Below are 16,588 nucleotides of genomic sequence, written 5' to 3' on the forward strand. Positions count from 1 at the left end.
CATGTGTCTTTATAGCAGCATGATTTATAGTCCTTTGGGTATATACCCAGTAATGGGATGGCTGGGTCAAATGGTATTTCTAGTTCTAGATCCCTGAGGAATCGCCACACTGACTTCCACAATGGTTGAACTAGTTTACAGTCCCACCAACAGTGTAAGAGTGTTCCTATTTCTCCACATCCTCTCCAGCACCTGTTGTTTCCTGACTTTTTAATGCTTATTTTTTTAAGTGAGACATTTGATAAGTCAAAAGAATTTTCTTGTTGTATTGTCTGCTTCACTAACAGGAGAAGCTTTGATACCCAGGATCACAATACGTTGAATGACAAAAAGAGCTCCCCCTCCCCCTCTCCCCTTTGCACGGTCCTCGTCTCCCCTTTGCACGGTCTCCCTCTGATGCCGAGCCGAGGCTGGACTACTGCCGCCATCTTGGCTCACTGCAGCCTCCCTGCCTGATTCTCCTGCCTCAGCCTGCCGAGTGCCTGGGATTGCAGGCGCGCGCCGCCACACCTGACTGGTTTTCATATTTTTTGGTGGAGATGGGGTTTCACCGTGTTGGCCGGGCTGGTCTCCAGCTCCTGACCGCGAGTGGTCTGCCAGCCTTGGCCTCCCGAGGTGCCGGGATTGCAGACGGAGTCTTGCTCACTCAGTGCTCAATGTTGCCCAGGCTGGAGTGCAGTGGCATGATCTCGGATCGCTACAACCTACACCTCCCAGCCTCCTGCCTTGGCCTCCCAAAGTGCTGAGATTGCAGCCTCTGCCCGGCCGCCACCCCGTATGGGAGGTGAGGAGCATCTCTGCCTGGCCGCCCATCCTCTGGGATGTGAGGAGCCCCTCTGCCCGGCCGCCCAGTCTGGGAAGTGAGGAGCGCCTCTTCCTGGCCGTCATCCCGTCTAGGAAGTGAGGAGCGTCTCTGCCCGCCCGCCCATCATCTGGGATGTGGGGAGCGCCTCTGCCCCACCGCCCCGTCTGAGATATGAAGAGCACCTCTGCCCGGCCGCGACCCCGTCTGGGAACTGAGGAGTGTCTCTGCCCCACCGCCACCCCGTCTGGGAGGTGAGGAGCGTCTCTGACTGGCCGCCCCGTCTGGGAAGTGGGGAGCCCCTCTGCCCGGCAGCCACCCCGTCTGGGAAGTGAGGAGCGTCTATGCCCGGCCGCCGCCCCGTCTGGGAGGTGGGGGGCGCCTCTGCCCGGCCCCCCGGTCTGGGAAGTGGGGAGCCCCTCTGCCCGGCCGCCACCTCGTCTGGGAGGTGGGGGGCCCTCTGCCCAGCAGCCCCGTCTGGGAGGTGAGGAGCCCCTCTGCCCAGCCGCCACCCTGTCTGGGAGGTGGGGGGGCCCCTCTGCCCGGCAGCCCCGTCTAGGAAGTGAGGAGCCCCTCTGCCCAGCCGCCACCCCGTCTGGGAGGTGTACCCAACAGCTCATTGAGAAGGGGCCATGATGACAATGGCGGTTTTGTCTAATAGAAAAGGGGAAAATGTGGGGAAAAGAAAGAGAGATCAGATTGTTATTGTTTCTGTGTAGAAAGAAGTAGACATAGGAGACTCCATTTTGTTCTGTACTAGGAAAAATTCTTCTGCCTTGGGCTGCTGTTAATCTATAACCTTACCCCCAACTCCGTGCTCTCTGAAACATGTGCTGTGTCCACTAAGGGTTAAATGGATTAAGGGCGGTGCAAGTTGTGCTTTGTTAAACAGATGCTTGAATGCAGCATACTCCTTAAGAGTCATCACCACTCCCTAATCTCAACTACCCAGGGACACAAACACTGCGGAAGGCAGCAGGGCCCTCTGCCTAGGAAAACCAGAGACCTTTGTTCACATGTTTATCTGCTGACCTCCCCTCCACTATTGTCCTGTGACCCTGCCAAATCCCCCTCTCCGAGAAACACCCAAGAATGACCAATAGATACTAAAAAATAAATAAATAAATAAATAAAATCAAAAAGAGAGGCAGAAAAGTATAATAGTATTAGTACTCTTTCAGATGTAAAGTTAAATTTAAACTAGTTTTTCGACAAAATAGAATTGGAATGATAAATACATTTTAAAAAGGCATGTATTTTATTATTTAACTGAAAATTCTGGGGTATAACTGGATCCAGGTGCTTGTAAGATGTCATTCACAGCTCAGTTTCTCCATCTATCAGGCAGGTTTTCATTAAGTAGTGGGCAAGTAGCTGATTAAAACTCAAGATATATACATATATTTATATATTATGTATTATATATATATTTATATATTATGTATTATATATATATATACTAACAGCTTTGCAACATTAGAAATAAAAGTCAGTCTTATAAAAGAAAGATTTTCTCAATAGCTTAAAAAAAATAAGCCTCCCTAGACTCATGAATCTAGACCTGAAGCACATTGCAGAAAATGCATGCTTTAGAAGAATGGAGGCTTTGTTACCAGCAGAAAAATAAAACAATAATAATAATAAAAACCACTGCCACTCTAGCAGCTCGAGTTCAATATAAACTTAGGCCCTGAGTGTATTCCCCTGGACCACAAAAGGGATTTTTTTTAACTGCTTAAAGGAGGGGGTCAGGTGCAACAAAGTGTATCTGAATACTGAAAGAGTTACAAGTGTTGTGGGATAGGGAATGGTATCCCAAAAACGTAAATCAAGTGGCCAAGAATGTGTTTTAATACTATTAATAGCCCTGGGCTTTGTAGTAAATCTTTGCAGGGTGAGAGTTTGAGTTTTTTAAAAATATATACATGACTTTCTCGTTATAACCAAAATCATTCACTGTAATTTAATTTTTAGTGGCTCTGGATTATAAGTGGTAGGGCTTGCAAATTAATTGATTATATTTCATGGTCTTTGGGGAATAAATTTTCAATTATTAGTGGACAATATTGTCTACTCTTTCATATAATTGCATTCCACCAAGAATGCAAAATAAAGATTCTTATTAAAGTCTAATGAGATAAACTGAAAATTGTCCATAATCAATCACCAGGGTACCAGGATTTTTAGAACCTGATTAAAATGAAAATACCAAACTTAAATATATTGAGGAACAAAAAGTTGATATTTCTATTTTAATTAAAACTAAAATTGGCCAGGCATGGTGGCTCATGCCTGTAATCCCAGCACTTTGGGAGGCCGAGACAGGGGGATCACCTGAGGTCAGGAGTTCGAGATCAGCCTGGCCAATGTGGTGAAACCCCTGTCTGCACTAAAAATACAAAAATTAGCCAGGCATGATGGCAGGTGCCTGTAATCCCAGCTACTCGGGAGGCTGAGGCAGGAGAACCGCTTAAACCTGGGAGGCAGAGGTTGCAGTGAGACAAGATCGCGCCATTGCATTCCAGCCTGAGCAACAGAGCTAGACACCATCTCAAAAAAATCTCAAAAAAAAAAAAAAAGCTAAAATTATTCCAGCACTCTAAAATAAGTCTTTTGAGATCTTCTACATTACTCTAATAGAGATATGTGACCCCTTGTAATCCACTGAAATTTTTATTCTTTATTATTTTTATGTGAAATGAGAATTAAAAGAGTACTCAACAGTCATAAAACTACTTTGCAAATACAAACCAATAAATTAAGTACTATTTTTAAAAGTTATATTTTCAAGTCAGGTTTTAGTTTTAAAAATACTTGTTTAATCCACCTATGAGAAGCTTCAAACTCATAATCTTTACTTCAAAGTTTATTAAATTCCTACTTTCTAATACATGAATTAATTCAAACCAATACATACATGTTTAATGTTGATTTGTAACATAAGCATCTATTAATAACTGCTTGATTTCAAACACCTAAAATTCTAGAACCTTAAAATGAAATTATTTTTTGTATTGGTTTACACTGTCCACGAGAGAAAAGAAGAATAAAATATCTTAATTATTGTAGAGATTATAAATATGCCTTCAATATAATGGCCAAATGTTATTTTTCTATAGTGCTCTAGAATATGCCTATAATTCACTTTTGCTTTCCTTTCAGCTTTATTAAGGTACAACTGACAAATAAAATTGTATATATTTAAGGTATACGGTATACAGTGTGATGTTTTACTATACATATACATTGTGAAATGATTACCAAAATCATGCTAAATAACATCTACATCATTTCACGTGGTTTTTGACGTGTGTATATATGAGTGGTAAGAATACTTAAAATCTATTTTATTAGCAAATTTCAAGTCCACTTTCTTTTTAATTAAAATGTTATTTCATTCTCCTTTGCACATTCCCATTAGTCATGTTTATACATTCTCCTCCAAGTTTAGCTTTGTAGCATTTAGAAAATCCAAAGTCAAATTAAAAGCACTGAAAAAAGCTTCAATTTTAAGAATACATAATACATATTGTTATCACACCATGTCACTTGTCCATCAGAATTAATTATCTCTGAAGCAATAAAATGAGGTGTTGCTGACTTCTTCTGAAGAATCAGGTCTGTAAGCAAGAGACATATGCTAACCAGAGAGCTCTTTTCTCTTTATTTTTCTAAAATTTGTAGTCCAACTGATTACTTCTCCTAAGTGAGCATCAAAACTGCATGGCAGCCAGGTGCAGTGGCTCACGCCTGTAATGCCAGTAGTTTTGGAGGCTGAGGCAGGACAATCGCTTGAGGTCAGGATTTCAAAACCAGCATGGGCAACAAGTGAGACCCCTATTTCTACAAAAAAATAAAAAATATTAGCTGTATATGGTGGTACAATCCTGTAGTCCTAGCTACTTGGATGCTGAGGCTATAGGACCCCATGAGTACAGAAGTTCAAGGCTACAGTGAGCTATGAATGACCCACTACACTCCAGCCTGGGCAACAGAGTGAGACTCTGTCTCTAGGAAAATAAAAACAAAAACTGCATGGCTTATGGGTACAATTAAAACTAATTTCAAATAAACAATTTCTTGACTACCCAGAAGGTTTTAGTAGAGTGAAGGACACTCAATATCTGGTAGTGAGGATCAAATGAGTGAGATCTTGCAAAGACTATCAGGAAGAAATGGCTATAGAAGCTTTCTTTTCTTTTAGTTTTTCATCTTTTTCTCAAATGAATCACAAACATTTCAGTGTTGATAGCAAAGAACCAAGCAAATGATCCAATAATCCAATATCACTTTCAGTGTTTTGTTACCAAAAATAAGGCTAAGCATAGAATGTATAATAATAATATAGTAAATTGTATGGTCAGTGGAACACCTAATAAAAATTCCTTCATGAAAAATCTAACGTGGCTGTGTTAGGCAGAATAATGGCCCCTTAAAGATATTCCAACGATTTGACATTCAACCTGCAGTTGCTGGCTTTCGAGAGGAAAGAAAGGAAGCATGAATCAAGGAATATGGGCAACCTCCTGTAACGGCAAAGAGCAAGGAAATGGATTGTCTCCTAGAGCCTCCAGAAGCAACACAGTCATGCTGACACCTTGATTTTAGTCCAGTGAAACCCATTTTGAACTTCTGACCTCCAGGTCTGTAAGATAATAAATTTGTGATGCTTTCAGCCACAAGTTTGTGGTAATTTTTAATGGCAGCAATAGGAAGCTAACACAATGCTCAAGCACCATAAACAAGAATGAAATGTTGAGGAAGAAAGTGGATGTGTGAAAACTCAATTGGGCTGTAAGATAAAAAATTAACGACAAAAATATGACTTATTGTCCTATGAGATATTTGAGACTTGATTAATCATCTAACTCAGCAGTTTTGTCCTAATGTTTATTAAATTGACATCACACACATACTCACACACCCTACCCTTTACAAAGCTTTTTGAACAAGATTTAGCATCTCTCTCCTTCATTAATGAGTTGAATAAAATTCTTTATGTGTCCATTTTATACTTACGTCAGAGTTATGTTTTTACCTTTTGAAAAGTATCATTTAACAGAAGAAAAGCCAGCAAAGAAGTCTTAGGAAAAACAAGTATAAAAATAATAAGAAGCCCAGGAGAGAATGCTATCTGGAAGCCAGAAAACAAGAATTGCAAGAAGTGTTAAGAGTGGGAATGTGCAAATATGACAAGCAGGCTGAAGATTCAGATGAGTGACTGGAAGATGGCTAGTTGGAAGAGGGACAAATAAGTCTATAAACTTTAAAACAAACAAATAAAAAAGTAAATCAGTAAGCGATAAGAAAAAAGAGACAGTAGGACCATTGCTTTTTAAAAGAATCTAGGTAACAAGAGAAAGAAACACAGTGTAGCTAGTAAAGAAAAGCAGTCATATGAGAAAGTATCTGTTTAGGGTGAGGAAGTTTTGACGAAAAACGAGCTAGCAAAAAAGATAAGGGTTCAAAAATACATGCAATGTGGCAGAGGCGAGGGGGTGGGGTGGGGACACGTATTGAAAAAATGTCCTGAGGACGTGGCTTCAAACACTGCTAATTCTCCCTAGTGAAGGAGAATGGAAATTTCTCTGCAGCAGGGAAGAAAGAAGACAAAAAAAAAAAAAATGTGTAGAATGACTTCACACCCAGTGGAAATTGTTTTCTTAATGGCTTCAGAGGCAAGGAGATTTTACTTAGGTTTGTGGTAATAAAAGGGCTCAAGTTGGAAATGGGTGAGATTTTTAATAGCAATTATAGGAAATGTAAGGAAGGTTGAGTAAAATAACCACCAAGCATTGCTGGAAAAAGCTGGGGCTGGAAATCTGTACTAGAACCAGGCCAACGCAGATATCCTCCTCGCATTCTTAAGTGTCTTTTCAAAACCTCCTAAGCACACAGTGTTCTTCGGCACTTCTTTATTTCAAATATTTATTCCAGATTTGATCTTTACTCTCTTTAGATTTTAGCGTTTTTAAAGGCAAAATTATTGCTAAAATACTCTTTCCTTGACGGATCATGGGAATCCCTCCCTTCTCCCTCAATCCGATTAAACTGGAAAACTCAGGTCAGATAAATGGCCTGGGAAGTACCAGATGCATCTTTGTCAGAGAAGTACGAAAAACACACTCTACCCCAACAGAATTTTATACAAGAAGTCCAGAATTATAAAACTATTTCCTGTGGTTATAAATTCTGATTAACCACCAATATGATACACTATAACAATTTCACTCCCACAGGCAGCCTCTAAAGTTCATTAGCAAATAGTAGACAGAGCTCCAGTCCTGGAGAATCTTTAGGTTCAATCTCCTTTTCCATCACCATGGGCTGTGGCACAAACTCACAATGCAGTTTAATTCTGTGATCGGGTATGTGCCATCATCACAGCAATTGTCTGGCCAAATATTAAGAAAATGTTAGAGAACATATTTATAATTATAAACATAATGTATATGGATTTAAGTATACCAAAACATATAAAGTACTTTTATTACACCTTTCTTTTCCTCTTAACTTCTAAAATACATACATATATATATATGTGTGTGGATTTTGAAAAAGTTATAAAATGAATCCCCCATATATATATGTGTATCTATATATATATCCATATATATGTGTATATCTATATCTATATCTATATCTATATCTATATCTATATCTATATCTATATATGCTTTCTCATGCAGTAATATGGAACTCACATGCCTACTTCTAGTCTATGATGTTTCCATGGTATTTTTTCAGCTGTCATGTGATTCATCCCTGAAAATCGTTAGCATCTGAAACTACTTACTGTCCACAGAATTTTTCAGTATGACTTCAGAATATTGAGTTACATTTTAAGATAAATAAACCTATCTGTGGATCTCTTCTACACAAAACCTATCACCATAGTTCAGAATTTTAAAAGATTCTACTTGGACATGGACAACAAGTGGGCAGAAAAGGCATTCCAGAAAGTTCAAATATGAAAAATTAGCATGGAGGGTTTGAAAATTTTGTATTATTTAATGCTTTCAAATACTGAATTCTTATGCAAATGGCTAAACGTTCTTAAATGCTAACTTAATGTACAAAAATGTAAATAACACTCCTGTTTATAACTTCAGATTTCATTCTTTGAAAATATATTTATTTTATTTTAAATTACTACTCCAAACAAAACTAGTCCAAATAAAAACTTATTGATAATAATTATTTAAGTATAAAGAAATCCAACATTTGGAAATCTGAAATCTTAGCCCATTTCTCCAGCTATAAGTCTCTAAATGACAGAGAAAGTATGCACTTACACATTTTAGAGGACACGAATCAAGTTCACAAATATCACTGAGTCTTTGGCTCAAACTTCTTTGCTATCTTCCCCCTGCCAAACTAGAACTAACATAACAGTTTGGAAGGAACACTCCACGTTCTTTATGTGTTACAACAATCGTTAAAAGTATTTCCTGTGAGTCAGATCCTGTTCTAAGCCCTTTTCATGCTCTGAGTAATCTAATTTTCAAAACCTTAAGAGGCCCATTTCACAGATGATTAAAGCTAAAGTTCAGAGAAGTACAGTAATTTGCCCAAGGCCACTTAGCTGGTATGATGAAGCTAGGATTTGGATCTGGGCAGTTTAATTCCAGAAGACTGCACTCTTAATCTTTGTACCCTACTGTTCCTCTCATGGTAATAAAGAAGTCTAAGGGTGGGGAAAGGAGGAACACAAAGAAATTCAAAAGGAAGAAGAGTCAATACTGCATTCCATAAAGAAGGTGATGCTTACCACTCATGGCTCCTTTCTCTGAAAGCCCTGTTCTCTACCACCAGGGCCCAACTATAGCATATCAGAGCTACTACTCTTTGGGAATAGAGCGGGGAATTGAAGGAGGAGATGGTCCATTACTCTATCTATAAAATGTAATTAAATCCAACACTCCATTGTGTTTTCTCCAGCTACCCAAAATGTGTTTAGAATACTAGCTCTTTGGCCATCTAGAACTGGCTACTTCAAGGAATAAAACTAGCAGAAGTTCAAAATAGTTTTCTTTTCTATTTACCACTGTTTCTATGAACCTACACAAGACCAAAAGTTGAGAAGTTCACATTCTCAAAGACATTTCTAAATATTCTTTTGATCTTGTTCTTAGAAGCCTCTAAAATCAGTGCTTGGCAGAGCCACATTGGAGCATGTGGCAAAATGAAAAATCAGAAATACTGATTTTGTGTTTAATTTTTTTGATATTTTGTTTGTCAGGGCTTTTTTCTCATTAATTTTTATTTTTTAAATATTGCATGAAAATATTATTTGTCTTGTTTACCGCGGTCGGTGGCGGGGGGGGTACTTATTGAGCAGTGTGTTTTTATTTATTTGTTTTTGGTGCCACCTTAAATTTTGTGCCCTAGTGATACAGAAGGGCTGGGCTCTCAGCTAAACTCCACCCTTAAGCCTGGAACCAAGGCTCTAAGTGAAAACAGCCGGCCACATTTTTCCGCCCAAATGTTGCCTTTTTGGCCTGCCCCGTCCCTATCCTGTGCCCATAAAAGACTTCATCTGGCAGAACAACACAAGTGGCTGAGCGTTGAAGATACAAGCGGCTGAGCAGCGAGCAGAGAGAAGCAACTGAGTATTGGAGACTACAGACAGACATAGCTAACTTAAGATGGTGCCGCTTCAGAGAGGGGCCCCGCCCCAGACAGCCAGGCTTCAGGGAAAGATCAACTTTCCATCCGCTTTCCAGCCTCCCTTTCCGTTGAGAGCCACCCACCACTCAATAGAGTCTTCCGCATTCATCACCTTTGAACCAGTTCGTATGACTTAATTCTTCCTGATGCAGAACAAGAACCCAGGTGCCGAAAGAACCCTGCCACCCTGACCCTCCACTGAGCTGGCTGGCACTTGGCTGTCCCTGGACAGCAGAGCTGAAAGAGCATTGGTTTTAACACGCTTGGATGCTGCTGCGGGGCCTGCAAAGAGCCTGCTCCCACCAAAGAGGAGTGACTGGCAGCTTCCAGCATTAGTTCGCTACAGTTCCTGCGCTGGCTCACTGGCATGCGCCGCGCTGCAAGGAGTGGCCAGCAGCGAGATGAGTGAAAAGAGCCACTTCAGTTCCTGCCTGCGAAGGGGGTCAAGGAAACTATCCCGTCTCACTAAGCTAGTGCCTCACACCTCAATCTAGTCCCAGCTCTCTATTAAAGGTGTGAGATGCTACCTCAAAAAACATGTATTCCATTAGGCTGATGCTAGATTACATCCATGAGTATCAGATAAAAGTAACAAAATATTATTGATAATATAGTGTCACCACATCGTATACACAGACCATACAAAGTCTGACACCTGTCAAAGTCAACACTGGAGTAAAGTTGTAGAAATCAAAGTCTACATACTACATGTCCTATTGCATATTCTCTCAAATAGACATTTAATTTTTTAACAGGAAGATATTCACAACATTCTGACTTAACAATCAATGTGTAATAGGCACTTGCAAAGCTGGCCGTATGCAATTCTTAAAATATTTTGTGTTTTAATTTTTGTCCAATATTTGATATTCGACAAAATTTTGCCCAATATTTGATAAAAATCACTGTATGATTTTTAATTTACAAGAGAAACAGAAGCGATCTAGTACTCTGTGCTAAATAAAATGCATGTATATATTTAAGCTTCTAGTATTTCATTGCATAAGTAATATGTATTCATCACAGGAAATATAGACAGCAAAGATAAAAACAAAAATTATCCCTAAACCTATGATCCCAAAAATTATTCCAGGTCTTTCCCTCTAAGTATATGAAAAAATAAAATTATACAATACTTGTAATTAACATGACTTTTTAAACTTAAAATTTGTTGTGAAAATATTTCTGCATCATTATTTTAAAAAGCTAATAATAAAAATACTTAATATTTTATTATATAAATGTTAAGTACTTTATTTTCCTTTAGATTTTAGTGTTGCTTTCTTGTTATTCAACAACAATTGTGAAAAGATCTTATCTCCACATACTTAAGTCTGTCCTTACTGTAATTCCATAGAAGTAGAACAACTGGATGAAATGGTATAAATATCCTAAAGTTTCTTTATGCAAATAGCAAACTTTCTCTCCAGAGAACTGTACCAATTTGTCAGTAGTGAATGAAATATCCCATTTCCTTTTACTTCAAACAATCATGCCTCTTACTGTTCTTAATGATTTTAAACTGAGAGGCAAAAACCACTGCTTTGCCTTAATTTGCATATTTTGTTAATCTAGAAAACGTTTTTGATTTGTTTATTTGTAGTTCTCCTGTAGTGAGTTATTTACACTTGCTCTATGCTTATTTTTATATTATCATATTCATACTTTTCTTATGAATTGATAAGATTACTATTATCAACATTATTAGTCCTATGTTTGTCGATTATCTTTTTAATTTGAATTATGGTAATTAGGCCATATTAAATTTTAACATGTTTGTATACTCCCATTTATTAACCTTTTTTCTTTGGTATTAGGCCTTAGGAAATTGTTTCTCTGGGTATACAAATATTCACTTATATTTTTTTCCAGTAGATTTGTAAGTTCAGTTTTTCCATATAAATATTTAACTCATCTGGAATTTAGGTTGGTATAAGGTGTGAGGTTGTTCCCAGTTGCTTCCAACACCACTTATTCAATAATCCACTCTTTCCTAACTGGTTTGAAATGTTATCTCTATTATATATTAAATTCCAATACAGTTGACCTGTTTCTGCATTTCTGTTCTGTTTCACATATCTTTCTAGTCTGGCACAATGCTACTGCATATTATTTTTACGGTTTAACAGTACATTTAACAATCTGGTAAGGGCATTGCTCTTCTTTAAAAATAAAAAAAAATTATGGCTATTCATTAACTTATTTTCCAGATAAACTTTAGAATCTTTTGGACAAGTTCTAAAAAAAGTCCCACTGGGATTTTGATTAGAAAAGTGTGAAGTTTATAGGTTAATTTGGAGAAAGTTGACTTCTTCCTCTCCAAAAACATCTTTCTCACCACTTATTCAAAGTTTTTCTATGTCTGTCAGTAAAATCTGGCCATTTTCTTCAAATAGGCCTGCACATTTATTGTTAAATTTATTCATATATATCATATATGTTGTTATTATTCTGAAAGGACTATTTATTATATTCCTAAACTTAAATATTTATGTTGTATATTTTGTAATTAACATATTAAAGTAGAAACAATACAGTTTCCTAGTAGTGCTTGTTTCTCTTCTTGCCCCTGCTGTTTACTGACCCCATAAACTTGGGCAAATTTCTAAATAATTTTGGCCCTTCCTTTAAGAGTGAGGAAGGAAACTAGCCTGCCCATGCAAGGGTACCATGAAGTTCAAATAAGATAAGGTGTTTAATAGCACCCTAAGCTATAAGCCATATAAATAACAGGGTTGTGTATAAAGAAACACCGATTGAGTCTCCACAAAACAAAATGCAAAATCAAGGTTTAAAACATCTGAATAATTGAAATAAACTCTTTTTATTGGGATTATCCAGATGAATGTTTATGCACTCCACTTTTCTCTCTCTCTGTCTCTCTTTCTATATATATGTAACTATATATACACACACAATATTTTAAAATGAACAATCTAAGAACCACAAAATAATGGAAAATAATCTGCTCTACATTTTTTATATTTTCTAGCCATATTGGGCTAAAATCACATAATGAGAACATAAAACCTGGCTGGGCACGGTGGCTCATGCCTGTAATCCCAGCACTTTGGGAGGCCCAGGCAGGCAGATCATTTGAGGTCAGGAATTTGAGACCATCCTGATGAACATGGAGAAACCCTGTCTCTACAGAAAATACGAAAATTATCCTGGCGTGTTGGCACACACCTGTAGTCCCAGCTACTTGGGAGGCTGAAGCAAGAGAATCGCTTGAACCCGGGAAGTGGAGGTTGTGGTGAGCCAAGACTGCGCCACTGCACTCCAGCCTGGGTGACAGACCAAGATTCCATCTTAAAAAAAAAAAAAAAAAAGAGAGAGAGAGATTTAAAAATCTATGAATTCTGCAGCTCTTCCTAATAACCAAAGTTGACATCAAAGATACAAATCTTTTGTTTTTATTTAATTTGAAAATTCATATATTAGCTTGGTTTTTTGTTTAATTTATATTACATATAGGACATATAACGATAAAGGAGAAATGTATCTCATCATTAAAAGTGGCATTTTGTCATATACACAATGCCATGAAAGTTAATTATGTAGTAACTTAAATGGATATGATGAACCATGCTTTGATATATCTATGATGGCTACTCTGATTACATAAGTGGTATAAACATATGACTGTGAATACATACTGTATATACATAAATAAAAATATCTCATAAAGACCCTAAACAACCATATGGTAAGTTTCTAGAACAAACTAAATACTAAAGGATTTTTGGACACATTTCAATGGTGCAAACATGTAGAGGTTGTCGGTTCAAACTAGTTTAAAACTGCCACAAAGTTTATTAGGACTAAGGGCCAATCTATATAAAGGAAATTGGCTCACAAACCTGAAAAATATATAGTTCTGCATTTAATCTTATAAATTGTATCAAATCATAAAGTTTTTTCTATCTGCTTGAAACCAAAATACCTAATATATCTCTCAGTACACATGAAAAAATATTGTATGCATAATATACTTTTGCTCTCATTTCCATTAATAAAAAGAATGTTAAATTCCCTCTTCTTGTTATTCAGGCTTCTTCAATAACAAGAAAGCCACCAATTACACAACAAGGCCATAAAACTAGTATGTATTCTAATTGGCAACCTCACCTTGACTATACAATGTCTGCCATGGCCATACTTTTTAAATAGTAATCAGACTCTTTTATTGGCAATGGTGATTACCATTAATTTTCCAAGGATAGAATGATAAGAGGTTCTTTCCTCTTTACTCTTCAGCACAAAGACAGGCAAGATGGCATTGATTTGTGGAGCTCTAATGACCTGCCATAAAAAAATGAACTATGAGAAAAATAAGGTAAGTTTGAAAAGCAACGGTATCTTCCAAAAATATCTACCTACTGATTTCAATTCCAACACACACTTACTTCAAACAGATTGCTGCTCTAAAGCCTTTCCCATATAAATGTTTAAGACTTACCAAATTAGATTGGAAGGAATATTTGCCCATTTTTTTCAGGTAATTGAATTAACGAGGAAAATTAGTCCAAATCAGGGTAGAATATATTTTATTTATACTTAGTAAACAGAAATATTCCAAACATCCACAGACTTTTCCCTTTCATCTGGCCGTAGAAATATGTACTTATTAGCCATTACTACTCATTGTCCTCTAAATGTATAAGCAATTACAACAGTGATTTCAATAATCTTATATAATTGAATCTATCTTAAAGTACATTCAATTTTTCAGATAAATATAAATTGCGTTCATGTCTTACCACATAACTTTCCACATAAATCAATGTGTTTCTGTCCTGTATAAAATTTTACCAGGATGTCTTCAAAGGAGTCACTAAGCTTGGCATAATAATAAAAGTATATATGATATTCATTGTGGGAATTTCTATTGAAATGTTCTCTGGTCTTAGCTGGGCTGAAAGAATGATTATACTTATTGAATTTTTACTCTAAGAGTTACCAAATTTTAGTGTCTTACGAATCCATTCTTATACATTTAAGTCACCGAAAATTTTTAAGAAAGAAAAGGTAAAATAAAAGCCCCTGCAAGCAGTATGCAATAATACATCTAATTTAAAAGGGATTAATCATTACCAATTTAGCATCAAAAGAATTGTCAAAAAAAAAAAAAAAAGGAGTTCCATATGGGCCATGTCATGAAAGGCTAAAAGAGATGAGCCATTTACCTCCTCCCTTCTCCAACTACAGAGGAAAAGAAGAATAAGTAAATCAATTTGAGTCTCTAAAGAACATGTGGATTTCTTTAAGACTCATGCTTCTCCAAGTAGAATCCACACTATCAGAGTCACTAAGAAACATGGGCAATCATCTATAAACCATGTTTTCACCATAGAGCATTGAAAAAACCACTTTCAAACATGCCCATTCTGGTATCCACATGTGCCTCTCTTTTGGAATTTACAGGACTATTTGATCTACTCCAGCACTGCCTCGGGCCATGGGAAAGCTCTATTCCTCCTTACTTTCTTTCTGCTTTCCTCTTTCCTTCCCCAACAAAGAATATTCTGGGCTAGAGTTAAAACACTTTTTTTTTTTTTTTTTTTTTACATACAAGTGGGCAAGCACAAAAGGGAAAAGACAAAGGAAGGGAGAATTACAGACCCTGGAAATGTGAATGACTAAGTTAAGTGACTAGAGTCAGACATGCCTGGGTTTCAAATACCCTCTGAGTCACTTAGTAGCTGTGTGATGTTGGGTAGATGATTGAATATAGCTGAATCTCAATTGTCTAGTCTACAAAGTGGGTTAGTATAACTACCTGTTATAGTCGCTAAAAGGTTCAGGAGTGACCAATCTTTTGGCCTCCCTAGGCCACACTGGAAAAATTGTCATGGGCCACACATAAAATATATTAACACTAATAATACCTGATGAGCTTAAAAAAAAAAAAGAAAAAGAAAAAAGAAAAAGGTCCATGCATAAATTTCATAATGTTTTAAGAAAATTTACAAATTTGTGTTGGGCCACATTCAAAGCTATACTGGGTCATATACAAAGTCATCTTGTGCTGCATGTGACCCGCAAGCCCCAGGTTGGACAAGCTTGGTTTAGATTATAATAAAATCCCCGAACATAGTAGGTTTTCATAGTAGATTTTAATATTAGTCTACTATGAACAATCTTGTGGAAGGGGTAGTAAAACAGAAGGATAAAGATTTATCTACGTATAACACAAAGCACAGCTATAGCTTAATTGTAATACAAAACAAAATGTTACATAATAAAACTAAACTCACCCATATTATTTGCTTAAGAGTTAAATACAATGTTTGAAGTTCTTAATTTATTATAGTGGGTACACAGTAGAAAGTAGTTATTCTTGTATTTGTAAAACATTTTCATGTCTAGGAAATACAAAATAATCATACTAAAGAATAATAATAGAAGTAAATAATTTAAAATCATTGCTTTATTGATATTTTTTTCATTTTATGCCACAGCTCTTTGCTAATAAAGTCCTTAGAAAACTTTATTTCATGGAAGTTTTAATTCTCTCACGAATTAAACAGGTTGTCTAGATGTGGCAGGTAAAAGTGTTCTGTAATGATTTGTGACCACGGAAAGCTGAGAAAGGGAGAAGAGCAGACAAAGGAGGATTAAAATAGACATGCTGCAATGTTACCGTACTGAATTATAAACAGCCTGAAGCTTCATTATTCTCAATTATAATTGTCATTTTGATTAGTTTGGATTGCTGATAGAAAACTCAACTCAAAGCAACTTAATCAAATAAGTTGCTGAAATAAGTACATTACTGAAAACTCCTGAGACAGATTTCAAATGAGATGAGATAAAGGTTCTAGGTCCATATTGCTGACATTACTCTCTTCTTGCCTTCATATATGAGCTATGTCTTCAGGTTGGTTTCAATCATATTCACAATATGGCTGCCATCAACAATTGGGGTCATGGCTCCTCATTTACATCCAAGAGACACAGAGAAGATGTATTATCTCATAGCAATCTAAAAAAGTCTCGAGGGTTGTATTGATTGTACTAGCACTGTGATAATTCCTATGGCCGAGGGAATTGCAATATACTGGTTGGTTTAAGTCTGTGTTGCTCAAACTAACCCTTAGGGTAAGAAAAATC

General features: G+C 37.0%; 1 annotated feature.

The window, feature by feature from the left end:
* Nucleotides 1,346-1,980: an enhancer, noted in NCBI's record as "NANOG-H3K27ac-H3K4me1 hESC enhancer chr4:127692753-127693387 (GRCh37/hg19 assembly coordinates)". NCBI's record gives its function as "activates a minimal SCP1, AML or CMV promoter by ChIP-STARR-seq in naive H9 embryonic stem cells {active_cell/tissue: H9 hESC(naive)}" and the evidence as "EXISTENCE:reporter gene assay evidence [ECO:0000049][PMID:30033119]".

Source organism: Homo sapiens, chromosome 4 (assembly GCF_000001405.40).
Source record: "Homo sapiens chromosome 4, GRCh38.p14 Primary Assembly".
NCBI classification, from domain to species: Eukaryota; Metazoa; Chordata; class Mammalia; order Primates; family Hominidae; genus Homo; species Homo sapiens.